At 40.7% G+C, this 25,700-nt stretch overlaps 2 protein-coding genes across 17 annotated transcripts in view, besides 5 other annotated features; both read left to right on the top strand.

Moving 5' to 3' along the window:
* The window catches only part of TBC1D12 (TBC1 domain family member 12), a 133,792-nt gene extending 127,893 nt beyond the window's left edge, over positions 1-5,899 (top strand). For 6 of the 7 annotated variants that reach the window (NM_015188.2, XM_006717732.5, XM_011539558.4 and 3 more), the window contains 2 exons: positions 769-1,027; positions 2,595-5,899. In NM_015188.2, the coding sequence (NP_056003.1) occupies positions 769-1,027; positions 2,595-2,663 (328 nt within the window). In that variant the 3' untranslated portion in view covers positions 2,664-5,899. Of the gene's footprint in view, positions 1-768; positions 1,028-2,594 lie in introns of those variants that run through there. The other variant, XM_047424905.1, reaches the window with a different exon arrangement.
* Positions 14,411-15,035: an enhancer, noted in NCBI's record as "NANOG-H3K27ac-H3K4me1 hESC enhancer chr10:96304601-96305225 (GRCh37/hg19 assembly coordinates)". NCBI's record gives its function as "activates a minimal SCP1, AML or CMV promoter by ChIP-STARR-seq in naive H9 embryonic stem cells {active_cell/tissue: H9 hESC(naive)}" and the evidence as "EXISTENCE:reporter gene assay evidence [ECO:0000049][PMID:30033119]".
* Positions 14,449-14,498: an enhancer, noted in NCBI's record as "active region_3791". NCBI's record gives its function as "activates an Ori minimal core promoter by ATAC-STARR-seq in GM12878 lymphoblastoid cells {active_cell/tissue: GM12878}" and the evidence as "EXISTENCE:reporter gene assay evidence [ECO:0000049][PMID:35858748]".
* Positions 15,036-15,660: an enhancer, noted in NCBI's record as "NANOG-H3K27ac-H3K4me1 hESC enhancer chr10:96305226-96305850 (GRCh37/hg19 assembly coordinates)". NCBI's record gives its function as "activates a minimal SCP1, AML or CMV promoter by ChIP-STARR-seq in naive and primed H9 embryonic stem cells {active_cell/tissue: H9 hESC(naive and primed)}" and the evidence as "EXISTENCE:reporter gene assay evidence [ECO:0000049][PMID:30033119]".
* Positions 15,209-15,288: a silencer, noted in NCBI's record as "silent region_2636". NCBI's record gives its function as "represses an Ori minimal core promoter by ATAC-STARR-seq in GM12878 lymphoblastoid cells {active_cell/tissue: GM12878}" and the evidence as "EXISTENCE:reporter gene assay evidence [ECO:0000049][PMID:35858748]".
* Positions 15,355-25,700, top strand: part of HELLS (helicase, lymphoid specific) — a 68,118-nt gene continuing 57,772 nt past the window's right edge. For 9 of the 10 annotated variants that reach the window (NM_001289071.2, NM_001289067.2, NM_018063.5 and 6 more), the window contains exons 1-3: positions 15,355-15,519; positions 15,944-16,065; positions 23,693-23,815. Coding sequence is in view for 6 of the 10 variants with exons in the window: in NM_001289067.2 (NP_001275996.1) it covers positions 15,489-15,519; positions 15,944-16,065; positions 23,693-23,815 (276 nt within the window). In the remaining 4 variants the exon portion in view is untranslated. The remainder of the gene's footprint in view (positions 15,520-15,943; positions 16,066-23,692; positions 23,816-25,700) is intronic. The other variant, NM_001289068.2, reaches the window with a different exon arrangement.
* Positions 15,661-16,284: an enhancer, noted in NCBI's record as "NANOG-H3K27ac-H3K4me1 hESC enhancer chr10:96305851-96306474 (GRCh37/hg19 assembly coordinates)". NCBI's record gives its function as "activates a minimal SCP1, AML or CMV promoter by ChIP-STARR-seq in primed H9 embryonic stem cells {active_cell/tissue: H9 hESC(primed)}" and the evidence as "EXISTENCE:reporter gene assay evidence [ECO:0000049][PMID:30033119]".

The following is a 25,700-nucleotide window of genomic DNA, read 5'->3' on the forward strand; positions in this document are numbered from 1 at the left end:
AAGTCAGACTTTGAGTTTATATTAGGTTACTAAAAGATGATATTTGAGTTCTTCATACAATAATAATAATTTTTATTTAGCATTTCTTACATGCCAAACGCTGATGTAAACACTTTTACGTTTATTAACTACTATAATTTTTAAAACAATCCTGAGAGGTAGGTAGTTTTCTTATAGTTTACTAATGAAGAAACTGAGGCACAGTAAAGACAACTATCCTGCTCAAGGTAACACAACTAATAAGTGGCAAATTCAGGATTCAAATTCAGGCATTCTGGTTTCATAGCTCATACCCTTAACTACCAGACTGTTCTACCACTCTAGTATATATTAGGCCTTTCCTCTACATAAGGTTGTAAATTCACATAATTTTGTTATTTATTATTTAATTTCCCACTACTCAAGTTTGAGGGAGGAAGCCTTTTTTTTTTTTTTTTTTTTTTCTGAGACAGAGTCTCACTCTATCACCAGGCTGGAGTGCAGTGGCACGATCTCAGCTCGCTGCAACCTCCGCCTCCTGGGTTCGAGCGATTCTCCTGCCTCAGCCTCCCATGTAGCTGGGACTGTAGGTGTGTGCCACCATGCCCAGCTAATTTTTGTATTTTTAGTAGAGACGGGGTTTCACCGTGTTGGCCAGGATGGGAAAGCCATATGTTATTTGCCTTCTTATCCCTAATTAAACACTGTTCTTTTTTTATAGAGATGCTTACTGAGTAAATGAGTCAATGAATGAAAAATTTCAGTGACCATTTTTCCCTCTAATTTTAGGATCTTCACACTATATAGCAAATCACTACCACTTGATCTGGCCTGTCGAGTCTGGGATGTATTTTGCAGAGATGGGGAAGAATTTTTATTTAGGACTGGATTAGGAATCCTCCGATTATATGAAGATATTCTCCTGCAGATGGACTTTATTCATATAGCACAGTTTCTAACTAAATTGCCAGAAGATATCACATCGGAAAAGCTGTTCAGTTGTATTGCAGCCATTCAGATGCAGAATAGCACCAAAAAATGGACTCAGGTAGAGTGACATTTTCTTATCTTTAATAGATGTGTTAAAGCAGTTGACTTATTGTAAAAAAGTTAGGTATTTCTTAAAAGTTAGTACTTAAAAATATGTCTTTTAAAAATAATTTTTGACTTCTAAGAAGCAAGAGTTTAAATCAAATTGCCCACTTTGCAGCTATCCAAACATAGGGCTTATTTTATTTTATTTTATTTTATTTTATTTTATTTTATTTTATTTTATGTTATTTTATGTTATGTTATTTTATGTTATTTTATGTTATTTTATGTTATGTTATTTTATGTTATTTTATTTTATTTTATTTTATGTTATTTTATTTTATGTTATTTTATTTTATGTTATTTTATTTTATGTTATTTTATTTTATGTTATTTTATTTTATGTTATTTTATTTTATATGTTATGTTATGTTATGTTATGTTATGTTATGTTATGTTATGTTATTTTATTGTCACCCAGGCTGGAGTGCAGTGGTGTGATCTCGGCTCACTGCAAGCTCCACCTCCTGGGTTCACACCATTCTCCTGCCTCAGCCTCCCAAGTAGCTGGGACTACAGGTGCCCGCCACCACGCCCGGCTAATTTTTTGTATTTTTAGTAGAGATGGGGTTTCACTGTGTTAGCCAGGATTGTCTCAATCTCCTGACCTTGTGATCCACTCGTCTTGGCCTCCCAAAGTGTTGGGATTACAGGCGTCAGTCACCGCGCCTGGCCTATTTTATTTTATTTTGAGACGGAGTCTCACTCTGTCGCCCAGGCTGGAGTGCAGTGGTGTGATCTTGGCTCACTACAACCACCGTCTCCCGGGTTCAAGCAATTCTTTTGCTGCAGTCTCCCGAGTAGCTGGGATTACAGGCACATGCCACCACGCCCAGCTAATTTTTTGTATTTTTAGTAGAGACGGGGTTTCACCATGTTAGCCAGGATGGTCTCGATCTCCTGACCTTGTGATCTGCCCGCCTCAGCCTCCCAAAGTGCTGTGATTACAGGCATGAGCCACTGCACTTGACTGGGCTTTATTTTATTTAAGTCCAGTATTATCAATTTAGTGAAGTACAACCCACAGTAGTCATTTATTTGCCAGAGTAGTTATTATTTTGGTATTTCAAATAGACAACAATTTTATTATATTAAATACCTACTGTGTACTAGGGTTTGTAGTTGAAAGAATATATAATGTATGGTCCTGGCTTTTAGATGCTTAGTCTTGTTAGGAAAGTAAAAGCATTGGCAATCTAAGTTAAGTGACATAAAAGGATAGCAGTATCACTCAATCCATGAATGATATAAACAATTGGCATTATTAAATTCACAGTCTTATTGGTTCAGAAAATGTTATGTTACCAAATAGTAATTTCAGAATAGTTGGCAATTGGTAAAAATTGGAATCTAATCATATTTCATGATTAGAAAAAAATAAAGGGGATTTGAGAATGACACACTTTCGGGGACAGTGTTAAGTATAATAAAGCTTTTTCATGTTTATGAACTATAGTTATTTAAATCTCTTTAATCTGGGTGGTAGTTTTTGAGGATTAATCTTTATTTTATATAATTTTCAGGTCTTTGCATCTGTAATGAAGGATATTAAAGAAGGAGACAAGAACAGTAGTCCTGCTTTGAAAAGCTAGTCTTCAAAATTGACAGACTAACTGACATAGAAAAAGTGGTTTTTGGATAAAGGTTTTTTGTTTCCTATGTAAAAGGCGTGGAAGAAAATGTTGGAGATACCTAAAAGAATCAAGAGGTGGAAAACTGCTGATTTTACATTTTATGGCTGAAGTAAATGAAATAAGTAACTTATTGACAGTATTAATAAACTATTATTTTGTAGGTAGAGTCATTTTTCAAAGGAAAAAGTTTAAGTGGTGAGTTTATATTCCACAATTTGGAGTAAACAAAATGCAATAAATTTTTAAAATAGCTTTGAAGATACTTCAAATTTTTACATCTTTTCTTTTGTAACAGTTACCACAAAGATATTCTGGAGGCTAGAGTAGGATTGTTAAATACTACTGTTAACCTCCAAAGTACTATAGTACAGACATTGTTTCCAGTTCTGACCTTTTGAAGATATTATAGACCAGTAATGAACAGATTTGGTTGTAAATTATTTAAGTCACTGAAGATGTCATTTATCTTCATTCACAAGTTGGGGCAAATTCGAGTTACCTAGGAACTGGAAATGTTGGTGGGAGATTGTTTATTGTTTGTTTAGATGTTTTTCCATAGTATGGTGTCCATTTGTTTTTTAAGGGAAATTTTTTGTCTTCCTTAAGGAATTCCTATCACTCAGAGAATTTTAGCCATTCTGGTTCTAGTCTAACAAATTATTCATCTAATAATTTGACATTAAGAAAACTATAAATAACTGGTAGAAGGAAAGTGCTTTGCACTTCAGTGGATTGAAGACTTGACTTTGAGAGTAAGTCCAAAAACATATATGATGTTTCTCAGTGATAAGAGTAAAAAGTAATGAATCCTGAGAGTTCTTAAACAGCATGCTACTTGGCAAGACTTCATATTTTTTAGTTACAATTCTTCCACTGTTTAACTCCAGTTTGAAATTTGAAATCTAATATGTAGCTAAATCTGTGACTTGTAAAACTCTATGCATAATTTTTCCTAATCAGTGGAAATAAGAATAAAAGAAAAAGGTAAAGTTAATTTTTTTTCTAAGTCTACATCCTATCTCTTGATTCAGTTGCCTGAAGAAGCTGGGTAAGGAGATTAGTCTTGTTATTGATTCTTTTATGTGTCAGTGCCATCTTAATCTCTTCACATGGTACACTAAATGCTGCCTATAACCCATCCTCATCTTCTTTACTCATCATTGCTTTCTTCAAGGAAGGTCTTGATACTGCCCTCGTCTACCTCACTATCCGCTAGTCTAGATAGTGACTCTTTGGAAAATTGGTAGCCTCTGAATGAGTTATCCAACTTCTGCTTCCTCACATTGGCCACTTTGCATAGGTTCGGGAACTTAGCAGGTTTTAAATCATCATGCCCATGGAGGTGAAATACTTTGAGGAATGGGAACATCTCTTCACTGTGTTTTTGGATCAGCCTTCTCTCAACCGCCAAGAAATGCATGATTTCCCTGCCAACTCTAGGAAGTAGTGCTGCATGATTGAATCATTATTTGATGAATTCTTTCATTGTAACATAGGGAGTCATTTTCAAAAAGGTAGATATGAACTTAAATTAAATTGACTTATGAATGCTTTGCCTGTGGGCCCAACAGTGTCATGACCCTCCAATTGAAACATAGCATGAATTATTTTTATGTCGAGTTCTTGAACTGCTAATCAGGTGTGTGTTTCCTTGAAGTCCAGAGCAGGATCCAGGTCAGATGAAGGAGGTGGTATGCCTGGCTTAACTGCTGAAAATAGAGCATTGAAACTCTTCACAATGTGCTGCATTGGGTTTCTGCTTGGCTTTCTCACTGAAAAGTAAATTGGGGAAAATGCTGCTTTTACTATTTTGCATTTTATAGCAACATTAACAGTCTTTTCCCAGTCAGGTGCTGTCCAGGGAACATGTTTCCCTTGGGAGGTCTGAACAGAGTGACCTGGCTTGATGTATTTCCTGAGCTCTAGTACCATATCATAGAATTAGTTAAATGTAGTCAACAGCAATGTCAGAACAATTGACATTGTCTTTCCAAGAGTGAATGCATTGGCTTTCGGAACTGCTACTAGAGACATACATGAGGCAGCGAACACATCTTTAGGTGGGGGCAAGGCTATATCTGATTGACAGAGATCTCTGATCTCTAATGACATATTGCTATTGTCCTATTATGTTTAAATTTGAACCTAAATCACTTGAGTGTTATGAGTGATGGCTATATAACATGCTGTTTGGTTAGATTTACAGTGTGTTTTTATGTTGCAGTTTAGTTTGAAACAACACTTAAGCACACTATTTCTGTTAGTGTATATAGTTTTCAAACTAACAAGCCTGCGATCCTTGTTAGTGTAGTGACTGCCTCTTTAGGAGTATGGGGCCCTAGGGTGTCCATATATTTTTACCCCATGGGTCATTCTAGTCTAAGGACTACTAGTAGAACCCTCAAAAGGTAATTGCTATTATAGGGACTTACTTATTGGAGACTGGTAATATAATAAAATATTGAAGGAGTGGCCATGGTCTTAGCAGGTTTTAGAATGACCTTTTAACTCCAGTAACTACTTCCTTGGTATTGGTATCCTTGATAGAGGGAATATAACATCTGGCAGTAATCTCATTCAGGTTATACTACCTGACTAAATTTAATCATACTTTCATGTATTTGTTTCCTCAGTTGGACCTAAGTTACTGTATTTGTTTTTCTTATTTTTTTATTATTGTACAGTTTCTTTACCTTTCAAGTATAAATGTGTATATAAAATGTAAATACAAAGAATTCACTAAAAACCACTCATAACAATTACTGTGTAAATAAAACTGGTAAGCAGAGTAATTACTTGAAATGAGTCTTCATTACTTTGGGGATATCTGTTTTATTTAACTGCATCTCAAGGAAACAAAGGAAATAATCTTTGTTTTTGTTTGCCAAATTTGTCTTCCAAGGAATGCACTAAGCCTTCAGTCTTTTTAGACTGACAGTACTGGCAGCTAAAATATTGTACTGTATCTTCTCTTGAGCCCAGTATGTAGGAAATATGTGATAATTCACATGGTCAGTATATGGCAGTTTTTGTTGTTGTTGTTACAGTATATTTTCAATTAAAAAAAAACTTTTCCTAAAATACTCAAAATAATGTGAAATTTAATATGGTGTTTCATTTGTTTGTCTACTCAATATATATATTTCTTACTTAATGTTCCTTTAGTCCAGGTCTACAATGCCTTATTTAAATGCTGTTAGAAAAAAAAATGCTGTTAGAAGACTCCAGTAACTCGCATAGTTTTGTATAGTCAGCTTTTGCTGATGTCTTTTGCATATGTGACCTTTGAGTATATTTGTTTGACTTTATAAAATTAGGTAGCATTTGCAAAATGACATTGACATTTTCAAAATCTCTGACTTCAAGATAATAGCGTTCCTTGCAGCTTAGGAACTAATGTTATTTTGACCTAGGCCAGTCAACTCTTTAGAGTCTACACTACTGAAGGGTATAATTCTAAAGCAGATAATCATGAAATAATTTATCTTACTTCATAATGTCATATGATTTATTTTTATTTTTAATTTTATGTTTTTGTTTGGGTAAGATAAAATTATTTTATATTCCAAGAGTGTGTTCAGACAGCAGGGACTAGTATAAAATAGAGTCAAAAAAGTGTAAGGTAGCATTGGACAGTAAGTTACATTAAAATTAAAATTTGTCATGACTAATTGATAGTGTCAGAAAACAGTCTTCTGAGAGGAAAAAAATGTTATTTTTGTATGGAATCGTATTATTTTGCTGTTTGACAAGCATTGTCTAAAATATGAATTCTCAACTCTAATAAAACCTCATTAACTAGAACATCACTGCTTTACAACATGTAAAAACTAAAATGAAATCCAGGATTTCAGGGAAACTAACCACTCCAGAGAAAGCCCTGCTCTTTAAAAATATTGTTTGCTTGGTAAGAGTGTAATTGCAAACATGGGAAATTTGAATTAATACACTTATATGTCTTAAGCCCTGATTATTGCCAAGCACTGCCTCTTAATATTTTGTTAGGCTACATAAAGTTTTAAGATTTGGGAAATTCCAAAATTGCCTTTCTTTCAAGATATTCTGCTGTTCATATTGATCATCCCTTGATCTCAATTAATGAGAATTTGCTTATGTGCATTTTATTTTGTAGATTCCATTTATTTTCCAGTAAACACCAGGAAGGAAATTTGACTAAAATTACATTATGAAAGTGTTTCATTTGAACATTTACGTAAACAATAATGACTTTATTAAATTTAAAGTAAAATGACTTTTGTATTATTGCAATGTATTTGAAAAATCATCTTTATAATAAATATGTAAATGATAAATGAATATAGACTTGAAGGAGTATATAAAATTGACAACAATGGGGTATATATGTTCTCATTTTTCATCCTCAGGCATAATGCTATACACAATGGTATAAAAGCAGAAAGTGAAGCTTCAAATTCTGGTCACAGCTGAGCACGGTGGCTCATGTCTGTGATCCTAGCACTTTGGGAGGCTGAGGCAGGAGCACCACTTGATCTGAGGAGCTCCAGATTAGCCTGGGTAACATAGTGAGACCATCTCTACAAAAAATTTAAAAATTAGCTGGGCATGGTAGCATGTGCCTGTAGTCTCAGCTACTTGGAAGGCTGAGGTAGGAGGATTGCCTGAGCCTGGGAGGTTGAGGCTACACTGATCACACCACTGGACTCCAGCCTGTGCAACAGAGTGAGACACTTTCTCAAAAACATTTTAAAAAAAATTGGGCTGGGCACGGTGGCTCACGCCTTTAATTCCAGCACTTTGGGAGGCCAAGGCAGGCGGATTACCTGAGGTCAGGAGTTCGGGACCAGCCTTACCAACATGGAGAAACCCCATTTCTACTAAAAATACAAAATTAGCCAGGCTTGGTGGGGTATTCCTGTAATCCCAGCTACTCGGCAGGCTGAGGCAAGAGAATGGCGTGAACCCGGGAGGTGGAGCTTGCAGTGACCCAAGATCGCCGGCTGCACTCCAGCCTGGGTGACAGAGCGAGACTCCGTCTTAAAAAAAAAAAAATGGGGTAAGTTAGGCAACAAAAAAGCCTCTTATGTGAGCCCTTGAAAAGCAAACACATCTTATGAAATTTTTAATTAGCTTACATGTTTCATTACCTTTTAACAGTGTAAATCAACTGGGCACGGTGGCTCGCACCTGCCATCCCAGCACCTTAGGAAGCTGAGGTGGGCGGATCACTTGAGGTCAGGAGTTGAGACCAGCCTGACCAACATAGTGAAACCCTGTCACTACTGAAAGTACAAAAATTAGCTGGGCATGGTGGTAGGTGCCTGTAATCCCAGCTACTTGGGAGGCTGAGGCAGGAGAATCGCTTGAACCCAAGAGGCGGAGGTTGCAGTGAGCCGAGATCACACCATTGCACTCCAGCCTGGGCGACAGAGCAAGACTCCGTCTCAAAAAAAAAAAAAAGTGTAAATTAATTTCTATCATTTTTTTACTCAAGATCCTCTAATGGCATTCCTCGTAATAAAAATCCACACTCTTTATCCTAGTCTCCATGGTCCTACTTGATCTGGTCACTGTGCATCTTTCCAATTTCAGCTGCAATTTATAAACATTCTGCCTGTAGACACAGTGGACTTACTGCCATTTTTCAATTTGTCAGCCTTCTATCTACCTGAGGTCTTTCTTCCCTCTGAAGTGTTTTTTGTCTAGGTCTTTGTATGGCTTATACTTTATACCGCTGCTTAAGGTCACTTCCTCAGAGGACTTTTCTCTCAACATGTATCCACTATTCTCATGACCTTACCCTGCTTCATATTTCTTTATAATTTCTATTATATATCACCAACTGACACTACTTTATAGTGCTGTCTATTGTTTCCACTACAGTGTAAACTCTGAGGTCAAAAACATTGTCTTATTTACTACTGAAGCGCTAGTACCCAAAATAGTGCATGGCACTAACCTATGGTAGATATGGATGACTGGATTGTTTTTATTTCGGTCCATTCCTCACTGCACTTACCTTTTCATTTAAATTTTTTTCTATTATAGATATTATGCAGTGACCAGAAACTCAAATAGTTTCTGGTTCACTCGGAAAGTTAAACATTTAAAGGTTGGGTAGAAGAGAACTAGTAAAAGTCAGGAATAGGAATATCAAGAGAATGTGGGGTCAGAAAAGACAACGGACAAGAGTGTTTCCATAAAGGAGTGATTAACAGTGTTATGTTGCAATGAGATTCAAATAAGAACTGAGAATGTCCATTAAACTGAGCAACATTGAAGTCATTAAACCTTAGTGGGCTACTTTGATGTATGCTGAATGTTGCAATGAGACAGAGGGTTGAAGAATCAGTGGGAGGCAAGGAATTAAACATTGCTAGTGTAGACAATTATAAAAGTAAGCTTTAAAGGGGAAGAGAGAACTGAAAATAGTTGGTAGGGAAATAGGAGGTTCCAGCTGGGTGCAGTGGCTTGCACCTGTAATCCCAGCTACTTGGAGCCTAAGGTGGGAGGATTCCTTGAGTTCAGGAATTAAAGGTTACAGTGAGCTATGATGGTACCACTGCACTCCAGCCTGGGTGACAGAGTGAGATTTTATCTTTTAAAAAGAGGGAATAATGATTTCTAATCTAAAATAATTTCTGAATAGGCAGCAGGGAGTTGGATCCAGAGCACAAGATGAGAGAGTGAGAAAGGTATTCAGGATGCAGATGGGTTTGTAAATTTGATGTTGGTAAGCTGAATGGGGAATTCTGTCTTGTAGCTATTGTTTCCTTTGTTAGGTAGGCCAGAAGTGGGGCCATCTACCGTAACAAGAGGGAGCCAGGGTTTTCTTTTGTTTTGACTTCTATGATTGGATGGATGGTTATGCACATTGATATGAAAAGGATTCTATAAGAGGAAGACATTTTGTGTGGGTAGGGAAAAATGACTTGTAACATCATACTTAGAAGAAAATCCCCAGTGCCTTATCTGGAGGGTCTGCCTCTGACTTTTTGTGCCATTCCCCCTTGCCAATTCGGCTTCAGTGATACTGGCCTTCTCTCTGATATTCAAACATGCCCAAGTGTATTCCTGCTTTACTCTCTGTACACGTGTAGTTTCTGCTTGGATTGCTCTTCCCCCAGGCTGGCTAGCTTCTTGGCATTTGGTTCTCTGCTTAAAGTGCCTATCACTTCGGCTGGGTGTGGTGGCTCTTGCCTGTAATCCCAGCACTTTGGGAGGCCGTGGCGGGTGGATCACCTGAGGTCGGGAGTTTGAGACCAGCCTCACCAACATGGAGAAACCCCGTTTCTACTAAAAATACAAAATTAGCCAGGCTTGGTGGCGTATGCTTGTAATCCCAGGTACTCGGGAGGCTGAGGCAGGAGAATTGCTTGAACCCGGGAGGCGGAGGTTGCGGTGAGCCAAGATTGCGCCATTGCACTCCAGCCTGGGCAACAAGAGTGAAACTTCATCCCACACACACACACACACACACACACACACACAAAAGTGCCTATCACTTCTTCAGACATCCAATTACCCAATCTAAAATAACTATCCTGTCACTCTCATGCCACCCTATTCTAATATTTTGCAATTTCCCCCTTTTCATCCCAACTCCTGGAATGTAAGTTCCATATCAACAGGGATGTAGTCTGTCTGGTTCATTGCTGTACAGCTCCTGTGATAGTTCCTGGTATCCAGGAGACATTTTAATTTAATTTTTAATTTTTGTGGGTACACAGTAGGTGTATATGTTTATGGGGTACATGAGATGTTTTGATACAGGCATACACTGTGAAATAAAAACATCATGGAAAATGGGGTATCCATCCCCTTAAGCATTTATCCTTTGAGTTATAAACCAATTATACTCCTTAAGTTATTTAAAAATGTACAATTATTATTGACTATAGTAACCCTGTTAGGCAATCAATAGTAGGTGTTATTCATTCTTTCTAACCAGGAGGCATTGAAAAAACAAAGAAAAAACAAAATAAATGTAGACCCTTAAATAAAAGTGAATGAACAAGAGTGTTCACAGCCACTTTGAAGGGAGGGTTTGCACAACGGCAAAGACGTGCCAGGAAATGCACCAATGCACTTTTATTACCAAGTGTGGGGCCAGATGTCAGTTGAGATGTGTGTTCTTTGAGAATCAGATGAAGTTTTCTTGAGCTCCATTTCGTGTATTTGGACAAATTCTCTCTCTTGCCTGTGGAGCAGAAGGTCCAAGGAACAAAGTTTCTAGAGAAAAACAATGAATGGAAGAAAGATTTGGGGAGGTGGGCCACAGTTGAATTTGTATTAGTCCATTTTCATGCTGCTGATAAAGACATACTCAAGACTGGGTAATTTATAAAGAAAAAGAGGCTAATGGACTTACAGTTCCACGTGGCTGGGAAGGCCTCACAATCATGGCAGAAGGCAGAAGATGAAAAGCATGTCTTACTTGGTGGCAGGCAAGAGAGAGAATGAGAGCCAAGCGAAAGGGGTTTCCCCTTATAGAACCATCTCATCTTGATCTCGTGAGACTTATTCACTACCACAAGAACAGTATGGGGGAAACTGCTGCCATAATTCAATTATCTCCCACCAGGTCCCTCCCACAACATGTGGGAATTATGGAAGCTGCAATTCAAGATGAGATTTGGGTGGGGGACACAGCTAAACCATATCAGAATTCAAAAGAAGGAACAAGGAAAGATTTTTCAGTACATTAGGGAAAAACCCCATAAAAAGTGTTTCAAAAGTCAAAGGGAAAGAAATTTTGGAGGATAGGTTGGTAAAGGTCAAAAAAAATTTTTTTTTTTTTTTTGAGATGGAGTCTTGCTCTGTCGCCAGGCTGGAGTGCAGTGGCATGATCTTCGCTCACTACAACCTCTGCCTTCCAGGTTCAAGTGATTCTCCTGCCTCAGCTACCCTAGTAGCTAAGATTACAGGTGTGTGCCACCACACCCAGCTAATTTTTGTATTTTTAGTAGAGATGGGCTTCATCATGTTGGCCAGGATGGTCTCGATCTCTTGACCTCATGATCCACCCACCTTGGCCTCCCAAAGTGCTGGGATTACAGACATGAGCCACTGCACCCGGCCCCAAAAACCTTAAGTAGAGTGAGGGTGGCGGGTGAAGTGGCTCACGCTCTGGCATGCCAGTAATTTCATACTCTGGGAGGTCAAGGTGGGAGGATCCCTTGAGCCCAGGAGTTCAAGACCAGCCTGAGTAACATAGCAAAACCCTGTCTCTACAGAAAATTTTAAAAAATTAGCTGGGTGTAGTGGTATGCACCTGTAGACTTAGCTGCTCAGGAGGCTGATGTGGGAGGATCACTTGAGCCCAGGAATTTGAGGTTGCAGTGAGCTATGATTGTGCCACTGCACTTTAGCCTGGGCAACAGAGCAAGACCCTGTCTCAAAACACAACAAAAAGCAAATCTTAAGTAGAATGAAACAGCTAAGTTTTCGATTAGGAGATAGGATTTAAGAGTAGCTATTAACAGAGGCTACATTTTATCTTGAAATAATATTGAATGAACTAGGAGTAAAAATGTTATCAAGCAAATGGGCTCACTGCCCGTTACACACTAAAGCCAAAAACTATGGCACCTGCCTTTGACGAAAGGCTTTATTGCAAGTGGTCAGCAAGGAGACAGGAGTGGGCTCAAGTCTGTCTCCCTGATTTAGGGTCTAGGGCAATTTTTTTTTTTTTTTTTTTTTTTGAGACGGAGTCTCGCTCTGTCGCCCAGGCTGGAGTGCAGTGGCGCGATCTCGGCTCACTGCAAGCTCCGCCTCCCGGGTTCACGCCATTCTCCTGCCTCAGCCTCCCGAGTAGCTGGGACTACAGGCGCGTGCCACCACACCCGGCTAATTTTTTGTATTTTTTAGTAGAGACAGGGTTTCACTACGTTAGCCAGGATGGTCTCAATCTGACCTCGTGATCCACCCACCTCGGCCTCCCAAAGTACTGGGATTACAGGCGTGAGCCACCGTGCCCGGCCAGGTCTAGGGCAAATTTTAAGGGATCAGAGAGCAAGGGAAAAGATTTAGGAATGTTGGCTTGGCAGGGTCTGATTGGAGGGCTTCAAATTGAACCATTTAACGTAAGGTACTGTTATAGAACTGAACTGTGGTCCACTTGCCTGGCTCAGGAAGACAAGACTTCCACACTGAGCTTTTGCAGCTGTAGGAATTGGGGCAGCTCATGCTTAAGACCCAAACTCCCTGATGGCTTGCAGGTAAGGATTTTTAAAGGCAGGGGTAAATTTCAGGAAAGCAGAAATTACAGGCAAAGTCATTGATTAATACATGGAGTCTATGTATTGTTTCGACCGCCATCTCAAAGGGTAGGTAGGTCAAAAGGTGGATTAAAAGGTAGGTCATAGATGGATTAAAAGGTTTTCTGATTTGCAGTTGGTTCAGGAGGTGAAGCTTTGTCTAAAAATTTGGGGAGCTGGGTGTGGTAGAGTGTGCCCGTAATCCCAAAATTTCTTTCCCTTTGACTTGGGAGGCTGAGTGGGAGGATGGCTTGAGCCCAGGAGTTTGAGACCAGCCTAGGCAATATAATGAGACTCCATCTCAATTTTTAAAAATTAAAAAATAAAAATTTGGGATCAGCAGAAAAGAATGCTAGCTCTGCTTGTGTGTGTGACCTCCTCCAGGCCCCTAGGAATAAATTTAGAACAAATGAGGCAGCAGAGTGCCAGCACATGTGTTTGGTGGCGCTTGGGGTTTCTAAAAAACAACTCAGAGACATGTGTTAAGATATTATCTCTAGTTTTTATAAAGGAACCAAACATCTCCTGAATCTAACTTCCTGGGCTGTTGTTTTAGGCTACCATTACCTTCTTCCTTATCAAGTTGCTTATTTACTTGTCAGGGCTAGCTAGGTTCCTGGAATTTCCCTTGAAGCAACTCAAGATTTCCCTTTATTCCCATGGTTTTTTTTTTTTTTTTTTTTTTTTTTTTTTTTGAGACAAAGTGTAGCTTTATCACCCAGGCTGGAGTGCAGTGTTACAATCTCGGCTCACTGCAGCCTTGACCACCTGGGATCAAGTGATTCTCCCACCTCAGCCTCCCAAGTACTAGGACCACAGGCATGTGCCACCACAGCCGGCTAATTTTGGAAATGTTTGTAGGGGCCAGGCACAATGTGTCACGCCTGCACTCTCAGCACTTCCGGAGGCCGAGTTGGGAGGATCCCTTGAACCTAGGAGTTCGAGACCAGTCTAGATAACATGGCGAAAAACCGTCTCTACCAAAAAACAAAAACACACAAAAACCCCAAACCAACAAAAATTAGCCTGGAATGGGCTAATGTCCGACACTAAAATGTCCGGGCGTGGTGGCACGCACCTGTAGTCTCAGCTACTTGCTAGGCTGAGGTGGGAGGATCAACTGAGCCCAGGAGGTGGAGATTGCAGTGAGCAGAGATCGTGCCATTGCACTCCTGCCTGGACGACAGAGTGAGACCCTATCTTAATAAAATAAAATATAGAGACTAGGTTTCGTTTCTATTTTTTATGAGACGGAGTCTCTCCCTGTTGCCCAGGCTGGAGTGCAATGGCGCGATCTCTGCTCACTGCAACCTCTGCCGCCCAGGTTCAGGCGATTCTCCTGCCTCAGCCTCCCGAGTAGCTGGGACTACAGGCGCCTGCCACCGTGCCCGGCTGTTTTGTATTTTTAGTAGAGACAGGGTTTCACCATCTTGGCCAGGCTGGTCTTGAACTCCTGACCTCGTGATCCACCCGCCTTGGGCTCCGAAAGTGCTGGGATTACAGGCGTGAGTCACCGCACCCGGCTTGTAAACTCTTAAATTTTGTATAGACACAATCATACAAGTTGTGGGAGTCAAAATGAAGGAAACGGGTGGTTACATGGTAGGTATATTTAATGCCATACATCTTAAGAAATTGGAGGTGGGAAAGGGAGCCCTGGAGAGGGAGACAAAGGAAATAGTTGAAAAGGAATGCAAACAAGAAAAGGAGGAATTGAAAGCTGAAGTGAAAACCAGGGACAAGAAAAGCTCCGCTCCTTCCTTCACTGCCCACTCGAATGAATGAATCCTGTTTGGTTTCCTGAATCTTCCTTCTGCTGGCCACTCCGCTTGGTCCATCACTTCTTTCAGCTTGCCCTTATCCTAAACAGCTTTCTTTAACCCAGTCATAATCTTAATTTCCTGTTCCTTCTCTCTCCCGTCCCACCCACAAAAAAGCCCTCCTCTTTGTCATTTTGGGGGATTTTTCACTTAAGATGTGAGCCGCGCGCTGCGGGTGCGGCGAGGCTGGCCCTATAAAAATGTTTCTGTTTCTGACATCCTCGTGCAGATACGCAGACGTCTCTACCTACAGGATCATGGGCTAGCGGGTGCTCAATCACAGCAGCCAGCGTTGGAAGGCGCCTTGCAAAGTATTAACAGCACTATCAAACTTTAATTGCGTAGTTCGGAACCAGATATGTGAGGAAACTGGGTTCTCCACGATCGGCCACCTCGCCCAATCTCACAGGATAGTTACAGGCTGAGTTCGGCAGCGGGACCCAGTTTCCTCCTGAGAGAGGTCCAGGTAAAGGTTTACGGTTGCCACAGGTCAGTCCTGACGAAAACCGCAAGCTGCGCCAAATCTCGCGCAGCGGGGCGGGAGGGCGGGTGGGGAATGTAAGGTATCGCGAGATGACAGGATTTTCCCGCGAAGGAGAAGCGCGCTTTTTTCCCTGGCGGGGGATTTGGCTAGAAGGCTGGGCCGGCAGCGGTTGTGAGGAGTTAGCTCGCGGCATTGCAGGCTCTGAGAGGAGGGGACCCGGTTCCCGGGTGAGTGTCCAGGCATGCCAGCGGAACGGCCCGCGGGCAGCGGCGGTGAGTGAGGAAAACCTTTTGGGCGCGGGTGGCAGCCTGCGGGGCTGAGGTGGGCAAGCATGGAGGCTGCGGCGGAGTTTCGGGGAGGGAGCCGACCCCGGGCAGGGACTGAGGAGGAAAGGAGGGTTGGGAAACTGCAACGGTGAGTGGAGGACACCCCGGAATCGCACGTATTAGCATGCCGGTGAAGATTTCACATAGGCAACTGCATTTTCCCGAGCATCCCGAGTTGTAAACTGTGGTCCAGGCGACTTGTAGACATTGTGAAGACTTACGGTGTCTTCTGAGAGGTGATGCTGGCGTCCCCTCGGTCTTCAGCTTTTGCTCCAGTGCATCTCGGGTGGGAGAAAGGCTGTTTCTTGTTGGAGTTGAGTAGTTGGTAATTTTTTTAAAACTGCAATTTGAAAGCTTTCTCCCCCGTCAGGCTCGGAGGCTCCAGCAATGGTTGAACAACTGGACACTGCTGTGATTACCCCGGCCATGCTAGAAGAGGAAGAACAGCTTGAAGCTGCTGGACTAGAGAGAGAGCGGAAGATGCTGGAAAAGGTAATTTAGGCATCAGGTTCGTCGTCGTGAAAGCCTGTGGTAACCTCGGCTTTAACCCGGAGGTGTGGTTTGTGTTCTTTGCTTTCCTATTTAGTGGGCTTTTTAATAACTGAAAGAAAACAGCTTTATTACTTGTCTTTTTTGTATGTTTACAGATATTGCCTTTGAGAATCCTTTCGCAAGTGCTTTGAATGGTGTGTTTCTATGAGATGTAGTCTTGGTAGTCCCATCACTTTTAAATGAGCATTTCAGATTGCTTGTTTAGCCATGAAAAGTCTTTCAAAGTCCATAGTGAGTTTTTTCGTTTGTCATCCTTATTTCCTTTAAAAATTACCTTAAATGTATGTCTCATGGCAAACAGGAATCGCTAAAACCTGCAGAAGTAATGTACTAGACTGAGGGCAGGAGAAGTTAGCATCAATCAAAGGCTGGGCTGGAATCCAAGTCTAATGATTTCCTTATACTGTAGTGCTGTTTTCCACCTAAGTGATCAACTTGCTGTTTGTTTTTCTTTTGGTTTCATGGCCTGTGTATTGCTACATAAGATTCTTTAGCTAAAAATGTGCCGTACTTTTTCAATGACAAGTTGCTGTAGTTTTCTTGTAGAGAGCATTTTGTAAGTTACTAAAAACAGTTTTTAACCTGAAAAATTCTTGTTTATTCTAAAGCCCCACCCTGCTGCTTGATTCATATGCAAGAAAAAGAATGATCGTTGACTCTTAAGTACTGCCTAGTACGTGGTTTTCTTGTGCTTTATTAATTTATTAAACTCTACCGATATTATGATATAGGTTATTTTTTGTTATTTTCATTTACAAATGAAGAAACTGAGGGAGAAGGGCACATAGTAAGTGTTGAAGTCAAATTTCAACTCAGGCTGCCTGCAGAATTTCTGTCCTTAATAATAGTGAATTAACTCATGATTATAAAACTACTTAAGTTGGAAAATAATGCATTCCAAAAACGAGTAATGAGGCCGTTGGTTCCCTGTTATGTCAACAATAATTTTTTTGTCAGCATTGTTAATACTTCTTGAACATTTATTAGGAGTCATGCATTGTTTTGAATGCTTTATATGTATTTACTCATTGAATCCTCAACTATTCTGTAAAGTAGATGTTCATTATTACTATTACTGCTATTAAACTTACTAGTTTAATTACTAGTATAAACAATTGCTATTATTGAACTACACAACCAAATAGGTTTTATTAGTCATCTTATTTTACAGATGAGGAAACTGAGGCACATAGAGGTTGTTTGGGTGCCACAGTTGGTAAATGGCAGAGCTAACATTCCAGTGTAGGCCATGTGGTTCTAGAATGCACATTTTTTAACTACCATGCTATAGTTCCACTCCAGTAATACTCCTTCCGTTATTACTGATGATCTCTGGTTGACTATAACCAGTTAAGGTAATATATTAACAAATTTTCTTTAAGTAACATCAATACTTTTTGCTTCAGGGTAGATGTGAATTAACAGAATTGAGAGGTCTGACCTGAACCACCTTTTCTCATTCTTTGAATTTTCATAGTACTTTATTACACAGAATTTACCATGACCAAATAAGTAATGATAAATACTTCATACTACTTTTTGATTCTTTCTCACTTTGTTTCTTGAGGGTGCATCACTTGCTGTTTTGTTTTTGTAGGCTTTGCACCTGGCACATAGTAGGCAATCAGTAAGTGCTTATTGAATAGCTAACGATGATAAAATGGTATTTTATAATATACAAGATTATATACATATACTAAATATACTTATTAGCTATATAACCAGATGAATTATAAAGTATAAATTCTGGGGCAAGTGCCCAGAATGGAATCAACTGAAGAAGTCTAAGAGGGATGTGATAATTTTGTCTTGAGTAATGTATCTTCAGTTTTATCTTGTTTCTTCATATACCCATTATGAGTGTTGGGTAGGGAAATAGCATTTAAAGAAAGATATGCCTGAGATATGACAACAGTACATTTTCAGAAGGTATTATTCATTCAAGGAAGAAACACTTCACATTTAAAAAAGATAAGTCAAATATGTAGTATTTTATATATTTGCTGAGGTCAAATGACCTGCTACTTTTAATGACATTTTTAAGCTTATGAACAAACATTTTGCAGTTAGTCCTAAATTTAATAATTATGCATCATAGAACCTAAAGAGTAATTTTTAATCCTTCCATTAAAAAAGTATATGGCTGTTTTCATGGCCTGGCATGGTGGCTCACGCTTGTAATCCCAGCACTTTGGGAGGCCGAGGCGGGTGGATCACCTGAGGTCAGGAGTTCGAGACCAGTTTGGCCAACATGGTGAAACCCCGTCTCTACTAAAAATATAAAAATTAGCCAGATGTGGTGGCGCATACCTGCAGTCCCAACTACTCAGGAGGCTGAGGCAGGAGAATTGCTTGAACCCAGGAGGCAGAGGTTGCAGTGAGCCGAGATGGCATCACTGCACTCCAGCCTGGGTGACAGAGCAAGATTCCGTCTCAAAAAAAAAAGTATGTAGCCGTTTTCAATCTTAATATAAGTGTGTAATTTGCTAAAACATTAGTGTTGTGGTTTCGTATTACATTGTCTTGTTATGTACAGATAAGGAAAGTTTTTGATTATTTTTTGCACTGGACCCTCATAAAAAGTGATTGCCTAGATGACACTAGAAAATTCTAAGAAAAGTTTTCAGAGTCTCTACCTACTTGAGATTAATAAACATGTCTTTGGAGGCCAAACAATTAACTATGCACAGGTAGAGATTCCTTTTCTTTTGGGAGAATACAGTCTGTATGGGCATGTATTTAGAAGTACTTAACAGAGGAAGAGCTAGCTTAAGTTCCTTAATGAGAAGCATTTGGCTTTAGGAAATCCTAAGGTTTGTGAGGAACCTAGAAAATGACTTTGACATTCATTGGCTACAGTTATTTTCTTTGACTTTTCACATGTATTTCCCTTTAAAAGAAGTCATTGTTAGTCTAGGAGATTTGAGTACTGATAGTGCCTGTGAAGTGGAGGAGGGGGAATAGTTGGAGTCAGGAGATTTCTTGGAGAGGTAAAAGGATCATGATATGTGTAGGCTAAAATAGAACTCCTCCCACCCCCCAATAAAAAATCTGGGATTGGTGTTGGGAGAGATAATGGGGTAGATAATGAGGAATTTCTGCCCTCGGTGTCCATTGGCATACTCTGTACTGTAGTTACCCAGAGTTGTTTCCTGCCAGGCACTCAGTGCTTTTAATAGATGGAGTTGCAATTTACCGTAATATAATCATGAAATTGATAAATAAAGAAAAAACAGTGATAGGAAGATTTGAAATACAGAAGACCAGGTTTAAGGATTAACCACTTACATGGTATTATTTTAATATTAATTGTATATTATTTTTTTCCATGATGGCATCTTAAAGCTTTAGTGATTTTTATTTTTATTTTTATTTTTTTGAGACAGAGTTTCACTCTTGTTGCCCAGGCTAGAGTGCAATGGCGCAGTCTCGGCTCACTGCAACCTCTGCCTCCGGGGTTCAAGCAATTCTCCTGCCTCAGCCTCCTGAGTAGTTGGGATTACAGGCATGTGCCGCCAAGCCTGGCTAATTTTGTATTTTTAGTAGAGATGGGGTTTCTCCATGTTGGTCAGGCTGGTCTCGAACTCCCAACCTCAGGTGATCCGCCCGTCTTGACCTCCTAAAGTGCTGGGATTACAGGCATTAGCCACCATGCCCAGCTGATTTTTTTTTTTAGGAAAAATTTTTCCAGGAGCACCAGGCAAGTATTTAGGTTTTTTTTGCTTGTTTGTTTGTTTTGAGACGGAGTCTCCCTCTGTCACCCAGGCTGGAGTGCAGTGGCGTGATCTTGGCTCACTGCGACCTTCACCTGCCGGGTTTAAGCGATTCTTCTGCCTCAGCCTCCCAAGTAGCTAGGACTACAGGCGCGTGCCACCACGCCCAGCTAATTTTTTTTGTATTTTTAGTAAAGACGGGGTTTCAACATATTGGCCGGCCTGGTCTCAAACTCCTGACATCGTGATCTGCCTTCCTCGACCTCCCAAAGTGCCAGGATTACAGGCGTGAGCCACCATGCCTGGCTGTATTTAGTTGTTTTAAAAATATGTGCTGGCCAGGCGCGGTGGCTCATGCCTGTAATCCCAGCACTTTGGGAGGCTGAGGCGGGGCAGATCGCTTGAGCCCAGGGGTTAAGACCAGCCTGGGTAACAGGGTGAAACCCCATCTCTACAAAAAATTAAAAAACTAGCCGGCATGGTGGCACGCGCCTATAGTCCTAGCTACTCAAGAGGGTGAGGCAGGAGGATTATCGCTTGAGCCTGGGAGGCGCAGGTTGCATTGAGCCGAGATCTCACCACTGCACTCCAGCCTGGGTGATAGAGCGAGACCCTGTCTCAGAAAAAAGAAAAAGTGCTAATTCTGTACAGGATTTAAGGTATCAACTATATCTAAGTTAAACCCACGTTATTTTAACTGAACTTAAATTTTAAAAGTTAAAAATTTAAGAATCCATATATTGTGTAAGTAATTTTCATCTCCCTGTTTTCATATTCACCTCAGTAGTTGCGTATTGTAACCACAGTAGTATACTGGTAATAGTAAAAGAAATTCTGTCCTAAAAGAACTGAAAATTGAGTTCAAGATATTAAGAATTATCTGTGTAGGTGGGATTATGGGTGATTTATATATTTTTTGACATTTAGTTTTTCTGTAATGAGTATGCATTACTTTTGTTAGGTCCATTCTTAGAATCTTACTGTAGTCACTGATTTTATAATAGAAATATATTTTGATGCCGGGTACGGTGGCTCACACCTATAATCCCAGCACTTTGGGAGGCTGAGGCAGGTGGACCACGAGGTCAGTTCAAGAGCAGCCTGGCCAAGATGGTGAAAGCCCGTCTCTACTAAAAATACAAAAATTAGCGGGGTGTGGTGGCAGGTGCCTCTAGTCCCAGCTATACTGGGGAGGCTGAGGCAGGTAATTGCTTGAACCCGGGAGGCGGAGGCAGAGGTGAGCCAGGATTGTGCCACTGCACTCCAGCCTGGGCAACAGAGTGAGACTCCATCTCAAAAAAGAAAAAGAAATATATTTTGAAAGAAAGCTATAGTGATGATGTAATAGCTAGGAAAATGTAAGGCAATATAAAATGATATCTTAGAGATATTGATAAGCTGGAGCAGCAAAACTACCCAAGTGCTAGGGCATTATTTAGAGTATAAAAATGAATTCATACCCCCATTTCTTTTCTTTTTTTTTTTTGAGATGGAGTCTCGCTCTGTTGCCCAGGCTGAAGTGCAGTGGCGCGATCTCGGCTCACTGCAAGCTCTGCCTTCCGGGTTCACGCCATTCTCCTGCCTCAGCCTCCCAAGTAGCTGGGACTACAGGCGCCTGCAACCACACGCGGCTAATTTTTTGTATTTTTAGTAGAGACAGGGTTTCACCGTGTTAGCCAGGACAGTCTCAATCTCCTGACCTCGGGATCCGCCCGCCTCAGCCTCCCAAAGTGCTGGGATTACAGGCGTGAGCCACCGCGCCCAGCCTCATATCCCCCATTTCAAACACGCTGTAAACAATGCTCAATTACTTTCCTCTTAAGTTGAAACCACCAATTACTGGGGAAAGGGGCAGTTAGATTTTATTGGTTGACTTTGTGTTTTTACTAATCCTTGTTGAAAAGTAGAGGAATTGGTTTAGTTGAGAAAACAAAATACTAAAAAATCTGCCACTAGACTTTTTAAGTCAAGAGTTTGTATAAAATGAAACATATCTACTATCTAATCTATAAAATTTAGAATCTTTTTAATTCTAAAGTTAACTTAAGTGTGATTTTTAGTGCTGTTGCTGAGGCCAGTGTTGCTTAAAGCAGGAACTTCTACAGTAATTGACAAAACTTGAGTTTTTCTGCTCTCATTTATCCATCCTTCAGACCCCTCAGATGTCATCTATTTCCTGAAATCTGACTTCTCCAGTTTTAGTAATTCTTACAATTTTTCAGGATTTAGATAGTACTGTACAGTTTACTGCTATGTATATGTCTTTAATACTTGTTGTTTTCAGATATTACACTAATGTCTCATCTGTAGTATAAATCAGACTTTCTGTCTTCTACCAGTTACATAATTTATATAATTGTTGCAGTACATGTTTGTTGATTTACTAGGCTGGATTCATGTTACAGAATTGGTAATCTTGGTTGGGCATGGTGGCACATGCCTGTAATCCCAGTACTTTGGGAGGACAAGGCAGACGAATCTCTTGAGTTTAGGAGTTGGAGACCTGCCTTAGCAATATGGTGAAACCCTGTCTTTACAAAAAAAAAAAATACAAAAAATTAACAGGGCATGGTGGCATCTGCCTAGAGTCCCAGCTACTTGGGAGGCTGAGGTGGGAGGGTGGTTTGAGCCCGGGATTTGGAGGCTGCAGTAAGCCACAATTGCACCAATTACAGCATGAGACCATGCCTTAAAAAACGGGGTGGGGGTGTTAATCTTGGCTAGATGTCTGTTTTGATTGTTAGGATGAATTGTGTTGGTAGTATTTTTCTAAAATGTTCTATCCAAATCAACTTGTTTATTAATCTCAAATAGGGAGAGACTCTGAAAACTTGTCTTAGAATTCTCTAGTGTCACCTAGGCAATCACTTTTTATGAGGGTCAAGTGCAAAATTAATCAAAAATTTTCCTTATCTGTACATAACAAGGTAATATAATAACACGGAACCACAACATCAATGTTTTAGCAAATTACACATACCTTTTTTTTTTTTTCCGGACGGAGTCTCACTCTGTCACCCAGGCTGGAGTGCAGTGGTGCCATCTCAGCTCACTGCAACCTCCGCTTCCCGGGTTTAAGCAATTCTCCTGCCTCAGCCTCCTGAGTAGCTGGGACTACAGGCATGCGCCACCACGTCCTGCTAATTTTTATAGTTTTAGTAGAGATGGGGTTTCACCATTTTGGCCAGGATGGTCTCAAACTCCTGACCTCAGGTGATCCACCCTCCTCGGCCTCCCAAAGTGCTGGGATTACAGGCGTGAGCCACCGTGCCTGGCCCCAATTTTTTTTTTTTTTTTTTTGGTACGGAGTTTTGCTCTTGTTTGGAGTGCAGTGGCATGATCTCGGCTCACTGCAGCCTCTGCCTCCCCCGGGTTCAAGCGATTCTCCTGCCTCAGCCTCCCAAGTAGCTGGGATTACAGGCATGCACCACCACGCCTGGCTAATTTTGTATTTTTAGTAGAGATGGGGTTTCTCCATGTTGGTCCGGCTGGTCTCGAACCCCCGACCTCAGGTGATCCGCCTGCTTTGGCCTCCCAAAGTGCTGGGATTACAGGTGTGAGTCACCGCACCCGGCCTTCAATTGTTTTTTAAATGGACCTTCCAACTCAGTAGTGCCAGAAACCATGTGTTCAATATTTGAAATTATAATATTTTGATATACGAATTGCATCTATCAGATTGCCTGTTAAACCCAAAAACTATTTTTTTTTTAACAGTTATTTGTTCCAGTTTTTGGTTTGAAAGTGTTTGGTTTAAAAAATGTTATTTTAGCCATTTTTATTAAACTTTATGCCAAAAAAATTAAGGTATGTCAGAAAGTGTTCATAATTATGGAAATTTTCTCTTTGGATAGGCTCGCATGTCTTGGGATAGAGAGTCGACAGAAATTCGGTACCGTAGACTTCAACATTTGCTTGAAAAAAGCAATATATACTCCAAATTTTTATTGACGAAAATGGAACAGCAACAATTAGAGGTATGTATATGTAACTGACTACAAGTGAAAGCTTAAAAAAATTTAAAAATAGCTTTATTGAAGTGTATATTATATACAGTAAAATGGACAGATTTTAAGTGTACGGTTTGCTGAGTTTTGACTAGTAAATATATAGATCTGTGTAACCACCAGCACAATCAAGATACAGTGCACTTCCATGAACTCCAAAAAATTGTCTTGTGCTGACAGTAATCCCCATGGCTGGTGTCCAGCAACTACTGATTTGCTTTCTGTCACTATAGACCAGTATTGTTTTTTCCTAGAAAATTGTATAAATGAAATCATGGTATTGTGCTAGTGAGTAAATAGTTGGTCTTCATCACCATTTCCTGGTATACAACTCTTGAAATCCTTGGAATCTTCAAAGTAATAGTGTTTTTTTTTTTGTTTTTTTTTTTTTAATGCTAATGATCAATGGCTAGCTGCCCTTAGGTAGCTTCAGGATGGGAGCCTAAGAAAGACAAAACCTGGATTAGAGGGTTGGGATTTAGCCTCACCCTCAACTTTGAGGAAAAGAGACTGAAAGTTAACTTGTTCACCAGTGGTCACGATTGAATCAATCACGTCTATGTTATGAGGTCTTCATTAAAAACCCAAAAGGGCTGGGTGTGGCTCACATCTGTAATCCCAGCACTTTGGGGAGCCTAGGTGGGTGGATTGCTTGAGCCCAGAAGTTTGAGACCAGGCTGGGTAATATGGCAAAACCCTATCTCTAATAGAAAAATTAGCTAGGTAAGGTGGCATGTGCCTCTAGTCCCAGCTACTTGGGAGGCTGAGGCAGGAGGTTGGCTTGAGCCAAGGAGATTGAGGCTGCAGTGAACTGTGATGGCACCACTGCATTCTAGCCTGGGTGACAGAGCAAGACCCTGTCTCAAAAATAAAACAGGCTGGGCGCAGTGGCTCACGCCTGTAATCCCAGCACTTTGGGAGGCCAAGGCAGACAGATCACTTGAGCCCAGGAGTTCGACACCAGCCTGAGTAACATAGTGAAAACCCGTCTCTACCAAAAATATAAAAATTAGCCGGTCATGGTGGTGTGTGCCTGTAAGCCCAGCTACTCAGAAGGCTGAGGCAGGAGGATCGCTTGAACCCAGGAGGCGGAGGTTGCAGTGAGCCGAGATTGCACCCCTGGACTCCAGCCTGGATGACAGAGTGAGACCCTGCCTCAAAAATAAATAAATAAAAAAAACCCCAAAAGGGGACAGGGTTTGGAGAACTTCTGGATAGCTGAACACATGGAGGTTCCTGGAGAGGATGGCGCATCCAGAAAAGGCATGGAAGCTCTGCGCTTCTTTCTCCATACCTTGTTCTATACATCTCTTTCTCTGGTGTTCCTCTGAATATGTTGTAATCTTTCTTTCTTTCTTTCTTTTTTTTGGAGACAGAGTCTTACTCTGTTGCCCAGGCTGGTGTGCAGTGCACCATCTCAGCTCACTGCAACCTCTGACTCCTGGGTTCAAGCAGCCCTCCCACCTCGGCCTCCCGAGTAGCTGGGACTACAGGAGCACACCATTATGTCTGTCTTATTTTTGTATTTTTTGTAGAGACAGTTTTGCCATGTTGCCGAGGCTTGTCTGGAACTCCTGGGCTCAAGTGATCTGCTTACCCTGGCCTCCCAAAGTGCTGGGATTACAGGGGTGAGCCACTGCGCCTGGACTGTCATATTCTTTATAATAAACCAATAAACTTTAATGTTTCTTTGAGTTCTGTAAGCTCCTCTAGCAAATTAGTCAAACCCAAAGAGGGGCTTGTGGGAACCCTGATTTATAGCTATTCAGTAAGAAGCACAGGTAAGGCGACTTGGGCCTTGCGATTGGCATCTGGAACTGGTAGTTAAAAGTCTTGGGGACTGAACCCTCAACCT

The sequence above is a fragment of the Homo sapiens genome, chromosome 10 (assembly GCF_000001405.40).
Source record: "Homo sapiens chromosome 10, GRCh38.p14 Primary Assembly".
NCBI classification, from domain to species: Eukaryota; Metazoa; Chordata; class Mammalia; order Primates; family Hominidae; genus Homo; species Homo sapiens.